General features: G+C 42.9%; 1 pseudogene; it reads left to right on the forward strand.

The window, feature by feature from the left end:
• On the forward strand, positions 508–1499 carry PDCL3P1 (PDCL3 pseudogene 1; annotated as a pseudogene).
• The last annotated feature ends 6977 nt before the right edge of the window (positions 1500–8476 follow it).

Consider the following 8476-nt stretch of genomic DNA (forward strand, 5'->3'; position numbering starts at 1 on the left):
TCTGGACTTATATCAAATCACTGACTAATGAAGATAGTGTTATATATGTGGGAATGAAGTAAAACTTTGTGAAGTGATAGTTAATTAAAATATGGCAAGCATTTATTACAGTACCTGACACACCAACATTACATAAATAGTGGGCATTATTGTTAGTTAAAGTGTTTTTTTTTGTTTTTTTTTGAGAAAGAGTCTTGCTCTGTCACCCAGGCTGGAGTGCAGTGGCATGATCACCGGTCACTTCAGCTCAACCTCCTGGGCTCAAGGAATCCTCTCCCTCAGCCTCCCAAATAGCTGGAACCACAGGCTAGTGCCACCACATTGACTAATTTTTTGTACTTTTTGTAGAGACAAGGTCTCACTATGTTGCCCAGGCCAGTCTTGACCTCCTGACCTCAAGCAATCTTCCCGCCTCAGCCTCCTCCCAAAGTGCTGGGATTACAGGCATGAGCAGGCAGAGGTTTGTTATTTTACTCGACAAATACTGATTAAGAATCCAACTCTGGGCAAAAGGGAGCTGAGGGTTGGGGGCACCGTGGCACAACTGGCTTCAGCGATTGCAAACAAGATGCAGGACCCCAACGCAGACACAATTCTTTCAGACTTTCCTTGGCAGGCAAGATGCCCCTGTGGAAGATGTAATTTCCCGCCAAGGAAAGTCTGAAAGAATTGGAGAAAAAGGCAGAAGAGTAGCAGTGTGTCCTCTAGCAGTCAGTGGTAAAAACATATGAAGATATGACTTTGAAGAGCTGGAGGGTTGTGAAGACGAATGTAATGAGAAGAATGAACATGCTATTGAAATGTACAGAAAGCAGAGACTGGGTGAGTGGAAAGTAATTAAACTGAAGAATAAATGTGGAGAAGTCTTCGAGGTCTCAGGAAAGGATTATGTTCAAGAAGTTACCTGGTGAGGGTTTGTGGGTCATCTTGCACCTTTACAAACAAGGACTTCCCCTCTGTGCCTTGATCAAACAGCACCTCAGTGGACTTGCCAGGAAGTTTCCTGATGTCAAATTAATCAAAGCCATTTCAACAACAACCTGCACACCCAATTATCCTGATAGGAATCTGCCCACGAAATTTGTTTACCTGGAAGGAGATATCAAGCCTCAGTTTATCCGTCCTCTGGTGTTTGGCGGCATGAACCTGACAAGAGATGAGTTGGAGTGGAAACTGTCTCAATCTGGAGAAATTAACACAGACTTGGAGGAAAACCCTAAGAAACCAACTGAAGATGTGTTGCTGTCCTTAGTGTGGTGCTCTGTCCTCATGAAGAGGGACAGTGATTCCAAGGGTGACTGAGGCTGCAGCTGCTGTAACTTGCTGAACTTTCTTGTGACAAATTGTCTGGATTTTTTTAAAAAGGAAAAAGTAAGAATTAATCCTTTTGGTTTTTAGTTTTGTATAGATTATGTTTCAAATCTTTACATTTCAGAAGCAATCATTGCTGGAAATTTTGTTAATTTTTTTGGAACTCTTTTTTTTAAATTGTAGTATTTCCTTTAAAAAAATTAAAACCAGCTATTGGTATTAAAGAAAAAAATCCAACACTATTCCAGGCCCTGGGCATACAGTGATGAGAAAAACAACCCAGGACCCTGCCCTGTGGATCTTACCATTGAGAGGGAGAGGCAGACATTGACCAAATTAAAGAGTAAATCCTTAATTACAATGTCTGAGAAGGGCTATGAAGGAAAAGTACAGGAGGAAATGACAGCACACATTGGGGTCCTGGTCTACAGGGAGGGTCACTAGGAAGTCTTTGAACTGAATTTTGCATCATGAGTCAGAGTTCACCAGACAAGGAAAGGGCAGGTTCCAGGCAGAGGGAACAGCATGTTCCAGTACCCTGCAGCATGGAAGACTGGCCCTGGGGCATCTGGAACATCCCAGCCACATGCTGAAGTTTGAATCAGTTTGGAAAAACGATGAATGCAGTAGGGTTCATGCCAACATCTTTTATAGATTCTTTGTCTTTCTGACCAAAAATATATGTTTATGTCTTATCTACATTTTTCTTCCCATCATAATTATAAATTCAAGGAGAAAGTAAGGGAGGAAAAAAAAGAAGAAAAGACAAAGTCATGCATATCTTGGATGTTAAAGGGTAAGTCATAATTTGTCTGCTTCCTCCCAGGTAGAAAGAAGTCCATACAGTTAATTGTGGTCATGTGATTTAGAGAGGTCAGAAGTGTCCATTTTTAATGACTTCTTAATGTGTATAATTCTGGCATAGTCTGTAATCTTCCACAGTGGAATAATACTTAAGACTTCTATTTGTTTTCTTTCCATTAGTTGCAGCTGTTTTCTACTGTTATTTTATTCAAGTAATTAACACACTGATTTATTTTGTCTTGGCAGCCTGGAGCAACAATGCTAAGAGTACACATTTTTATGACAAACAAACACACAGACCTTTTGAAAATGAATCACACTGGATTCCTTCTTTCCAGATTCTCCTGAAGTCAAGTAATAAGAATTCTGGGGAATTCATACACTATGGGCCAAAAAGGTTTTACAAACAACAATAATCTGCATAAACTCTTCACTCTTTAAGACCATTCGTCTTAGTCAGCTGATTTTCCTCAGAACACAACCAGTGTGATAAATGTGTGCATGTTCATATTTCAGCCAATGAGGAAGCCTGAAAAGCCATGGTGCTGAAAGTGCATTTCCCATAGCTCCTTGTTGTGAGATCATAAGGGGAAGATGTTGTATTGTGGATAAAATGCTCTGGATCTTAGCTGAGACTAAGTTGCTAAGCAAGCCAGACTTTAAGGTTCAGAAAATTTACTCTGGACAGCAAATCTTAAACTTACAATGGTCTTAATTAAGGAGCAGTGAGTTAAATTGAGTGTTTAGAGGCCAATTTTTTTTTAATTTTAAATAAAGAACATTTGTTTGGTGTGATACTGCCAACAGGATTTTATTCATTGTACTGGTCTCTCTTTACAACTCTGCCCAAGTAAACCAGCCAAATCCCCGTAGTCCATTCCAGAATCACACTGGGAACACCAGCATGAATTAATAGTAAGTCTGAGTTACACAATAATTTGTGAATAGCACCCCCTTAACTGCCAATAAGAATTTGCAAAAACGCTAATGGCTAACCAGGTGTGGCCTAGAAAAAAAATGTTGATGACTTTTAATGCAAAAATTCATGCCCAGCCAAACCAAAGGAACCTTTTTCAGGAGTCATGTGGCCTGGCTTCTCAACTCCGTTTTGTGGCTTATTCTGTGTGGGCTTGCATAAATCAGTTGACCTGTTTATTCCTCTATTTTCTCATCTTTAAAATGAGGGGGCTGTGCTAATCATCTATATTCTTTTTTACTCCAAAATTCTAATTTCACATCTCTACATCATTTCAAGTAGCACATGGTCTCTACATAAATGGATCCTGCTAAATTGATCCTCACAAAACGTTAAAAAGTTTACTTGTTTAAGTAGGTTAAACATCCCCACATTAGGAACTCTGAATCACATTCTCCCTATTAATTTTCTCATAAATAGCACAAAAGTAAGTTGCAACCCAGTTTTGCCTGCAATATCATAAAATCTAAATTAGTTGAATTTAAACCGGTGAAATGTGGTGAAATGTTAAGTGTCATTTAAAATTTAAATTAATTGTGCATGTTCTGTCTTGGGTCCTTGTCTCTTTCTCTATACCATCTGCCCGGGAAATTGTAAATTGCCCAAGTTTCCACAGATATTCACAACTCCTGAGAGTCTAATTCCAGACAATTTCTCCCCTGAGCTCCAAACTAATATTTAATACTAATAGTTTCCACTTCTTGAGTGCCTCTTACAAGTCTGGTACTGAGTATGATTCTAACCACTTGGCCTCTACCTTTATAATACTCCTACTAAGTAAACATTGCTATCTCCATCATCAGGATGGAGATCAGAGAGTGATCAAGGCACACTTTGATCACTTGTCACTTGTCAAAGCCATCATTGTAATACAAGTCTTCCTGGCTCAGACATCCATGCATTTTTTTTTTTTTTGGATGTAGTCTCACTGTCACCTAGGCTGGAGTGCAGTGGTGTGGTCTCGGCTCACTGCAACCTCCACCTCCTGGATTCAAGTGATTCTTCTGCCTCAGCCTCCTAAGTATCTGAGACTACAGGCGTGTGCCACCACACTCAGCTAACTTTTGTATTTTTAGTAGACATGGGGTTTCACTATGTTGGCCAGGCTGGTCTCGAACTCCAGACCTCGTGATCCACCCACCTCAGCCTCCCAAAGTGCTGGGATTACAGGCGTGAGCCAATGTGCCCACCCCAGACATCCATGCTCTTTCCACTGTTCCACAAAGGTGAACGACATCAGTAGAAAGGCAGGATATTAAACCATGGTTACTGTTCCCGATGACAGTCTTCTTCTGGGCATAGAGAAGTGGGGGTTGGAGGAAAGGCACCGTCCAGTGAGGACGAGGTATGGAATCTGAGGTCAAGAGCCATGGCAGGCAGACTGGGAAGGCAGTTCTGGGTAGGGAGGGCACAGCTTTGTGGGCCAGGACAGGGAAAGTCAGCTGCCATAACACATCATGGGGTTGGCTGGTTGCGGTGGCTCATGCCTGTAATCCCAGCACTTCGGAAGGCCGAGGCAGGTGGATCACCTGAGGTCAGGAGTTCAAGACCAGCCTGACCAACATAGTAGAACCCTGTCTTTACTAAAAATACAAAATTAGCCAGGTGTGGTGGTACATGCCTGTAATCCCAACTACTCAGGAGGCTGAGGCAGGAGAATCACTTGAACCCAGGAGGCAGAGGTTGCAGTGAGCTGAGATCGCGCCACTGCACTCCAGTCTGAGGAACAAGAGTGAAACTACATCTCAAAAAAAAAAAAATCATGCGGTTGTCAAGAGGGAGCAAGGGGTGATGCCTATCATCTGATAGGAATATATGGAATAGATTTCATATTTTAAGAAAAGCATTTTGGAAGTTACTTTAAAACTGTTTTGGGAGATTTTTTAGAGGTCTTGCTCTGTTGCCCTAGCTGTGCAGTGACACTACAGCCTCAAACTCCTGGGCTCAAGCCATCCTCCCACCTCAGCCTCCCAAATTGCTGGGATTACAGGTGTGGGGCACCATGCCGGACCTGAAAAGCTTTTAAAGCTGAAATTGGATTATCTCACTCTTCTGTGCCACACCACTCCCTGACTAGGGTCAAAGTCTTCCCAGTGGTGGTAAGACCCTGCCTGCCCCTGCTGCCCATGATCACTGACCTCATCTCTTAATAAGGCCTTCTTCTCACCCTCCTCCAGCCTCACCAGCCTCCTCCCCTCTCACATCCAGCAGACACACTCTAACTCAAGGCCTTTGCACTGCTTTTCCCTCTGCCAAGAACACTCGTCCCCCAGGCATTTGTGAACCTCACTCCCTCGCCTCCTTCTGGATGTTGTTCAAATGTCTCCTCTGCAGTGAACCATATCCTAGACCACCTTATTGAAATCTGCAAACCTCTTCCTTTCCTGTGCCACAGACAGATGCCCTCCTCAATACACTGTTGCTGTTTCATGTTTCTCCAAAGCCTCATTACACTCTCACAGACTGCTGTGGGTTGAATTAAGTCTCTCTAAAAAATGTTGCAGTCTTAACCCCCAGAGCCTGAGAAGGTAACATTATTTGGAAAGAGGGTCTGCTATGTTTTGGCTGCTTGTCCCCAAAACCTCATGTTGAAGTTTGATCCCAGTGTTGGGGATGAAGCCTGGCGGGAGGTATTTGTTTCGTGGGGACAGGTCCCTCATGAACGTTTGGTGCTGTCTTCACAGTGTTGAGTTCTAGCTCTATTAGTTCCCATGAGCACTGATTGTTAAAAAGAGCCTGGCACTTCCTCCCCTCCCTCTCTTGCTTTGGCTCTGGCCATGTGACCTCTGCAAGGCTCCACTTTGCTTCCTGAGGCCTCACCAGAAGGAGATGCTGACACCAGGCTTCTTGCACAACCTGCAGAATTGTGAACCAAATAAATCTTTTTTCTTTATGCATTACCCAGCTCAGTATTCCTTGTAGCAACACAAAAGTGGACTTAGACAGGATCTTTGTAGATTACCAACTAAAGATAGGGTCATTAGAGTGAGCCCTAATCCAATACAATTAGTGTCCTTATATAAAAAGAAATTTGGATACAGGGACACACAGGAAGAACACCACACAAAGATGAAGGCAGAGATCTAGGTGATGCTCCTACAAGCCAAGGAACACCAAAGATTGCCAGCAAACCACCAGCAGCTGGGGATAAGACCTGGAACAGATCCTCCCTCACAGCCCCCAGAAGGAACCAACCCTGCTGACACCTCAATCTTGGACTTCCAGCTTCGAGAATTATGAGACAATAAACTTCTGTTGCCTAAACAACACAGTTTGTGGTACTTTGTTATGGCAACCTTAGCAAACTGAAACATATACTATATCATTTGCTTGGGTTTTTTATTTATTACCTGTCTTCATCCCACTCCACCTGCTGCCTCCAAAGGTGAGCTCTACATAGGTAGGGATTTGTTTGTTTCTTTTTGCTCTTATATCCCAGCAGTACATATTTGTTGAATGAACAAACAATTGCCCCTCAGACCACATTTCTAGTCTTTTCTCCCACCTTTCCCCAAGACAAAGTAATTTCAACTTTTACCGTAAATACCATGGACTTTGATACCTCCTTAACTTTGCTGAGGTTTTCTCTGCCTCGGATGGCCACTTGCCCTTGTCTCCCTGTCAAGGTCTCCTTATCATTTAAGTCATATCCATGTCATTCCTTCAGTGACAAACTCCCTTCCATCCCCTTTTCTGTTTTATTATCCACTGTGGATGTGGCTCTTTGCCTGTAAACAGTGGCCTCCTTGAGTTCTGGGACCATATCCCATTAATCTTTGTAGCCCCAGAACCTAGCCCTGTGTCTGGCACATCGGAGGTGCTCAGTCAATGTTTGCTAGATTGAATTAAATCTGTATCCTGCAGCTTTCACTCTTGCTGCCCTTCCCTAGACTGCTAGCCATAGCAGGGTACAAGAGGATTAGAAGGAACTTTGCAGAGCAGAACTCAGATTAGGGCATTCGAGCGCTACAGGGCTGCGCCTCTCTGCAGAGTCTTTGTCTTCGTGCAATCTCTTGAGAGTTTCCTAAATTGTAACAGTCGGCAATGTTGTATCCAAATCACTCAGCTAAGCCTTCAGAGGCATTTGCCAGAAATCACACCAACATAAACAGCTCAATCAAAGAAGGAGTGCAAATCCTCCTTCTTTTTATAAAGTGGAGCAAGTATCCTGTTGGAAAAAGAAAAGAAAAGAAAAGAAAAAGACAGTCATTTGAGACACCACTTCCCAGGTTGCTGGGCAAGAATATGCTGGCTTGGATTACAGGTAATAGTCCTATCTGTTTTCCTTTCTGCCCTAGTTCTTTCTAGTGGGTGGAATAAAGACCCAGTGTTTTCACCCATCTTTGCAAAAAGGATAAACCTGAGCCACCTCCAGAAATGAAGCAGGCATTGTGGGATTTTCTGGGTTTTGATTTTTTTTTTTTTTTAAGACATGGGATGTTGCTATGTTGCCCAGGCTGGAGTGCAGTGGCTATTCACAGCTTCTATCATGGTGCACTGCAGCCTCAAACTCCTGGGTTCAAGCGATCCTCCTGCCTCAGGCTCCAGAGTAGCTGACACGACACTACAGGCACATGCCACCAAGAAGGTGAAGGGTGTGTTTGGTCAACATTCATTTAGACTATTTGAATATTCCTGTGGGTGTGATCTGAAAAGCCTAGAACAGGCTCAGCTTCCCAGAAATTCTAACTGAATGGGACTAAAATATTGAACGTGCATTCTAAGGACTCACTATTGGTTGTCAGAGGGTTATCTGCCCCTCTCTGCTTTCTAAGAGGCATTAGCTCTCAGAGTCTTGCAGTCATTACTAGAACAACAGAATAGGCCCTAGGAGACACAGAAAATGCCAAATAACATAATTTATATCTTCACTCCTTGTGGGTACTATCATAGCTAGGTTAGCTTCAAATTCATAAGAATAAATAACTTCATTAACTCTCATTGTATGCATTTAATTGTAACCTGTTTAAAAATGCTGAGTTAATCATATTCAATAGGTCATTCAGTTATAGACACAAACTATGAGCATATTCAGTGCTGAGGTCTGTGCTTTTCTTTAAATCCATCACAAAAGGGTGCCCCTGCCAAGCATGGTGGCTCATGCTTGTAATCTTAGCACTTAGGGAGGCCAAGGTGGGAGAATTGCTTGAGGCCAGGAGTTCGAGACCTGGGCAACATAACAAGACCCCGTCTCTACAAAAAACTTAAAAATTAGACAGACGTGGTGGTTCATGCTTGTAGTCCCAGGTACTCAGGAGGCTGAGGCAGAAACATCACTTGAGCCCATGAGTTCAAGGTTGCAGTGAGCTGTGATCATGCTAGCCTGGGAGAGAGAGTGAGACCCTGTCTCAAAAAGGGGAGGGGGGAGTAACTCCTGTTTTTGAC

The sequence above is a fragment of the Homo sapiens genome, chromosome 8, assembly GCF_000001405.40.
Source record: "Homo sapiens chromosome 8, GRCh38.p14 Primary Assembly".
Lineage (NCBI taxonomy): Eukaryota > Metazoa > Chordata > Mammalia > Primates > Hominidae > Homo > Homo sapiens.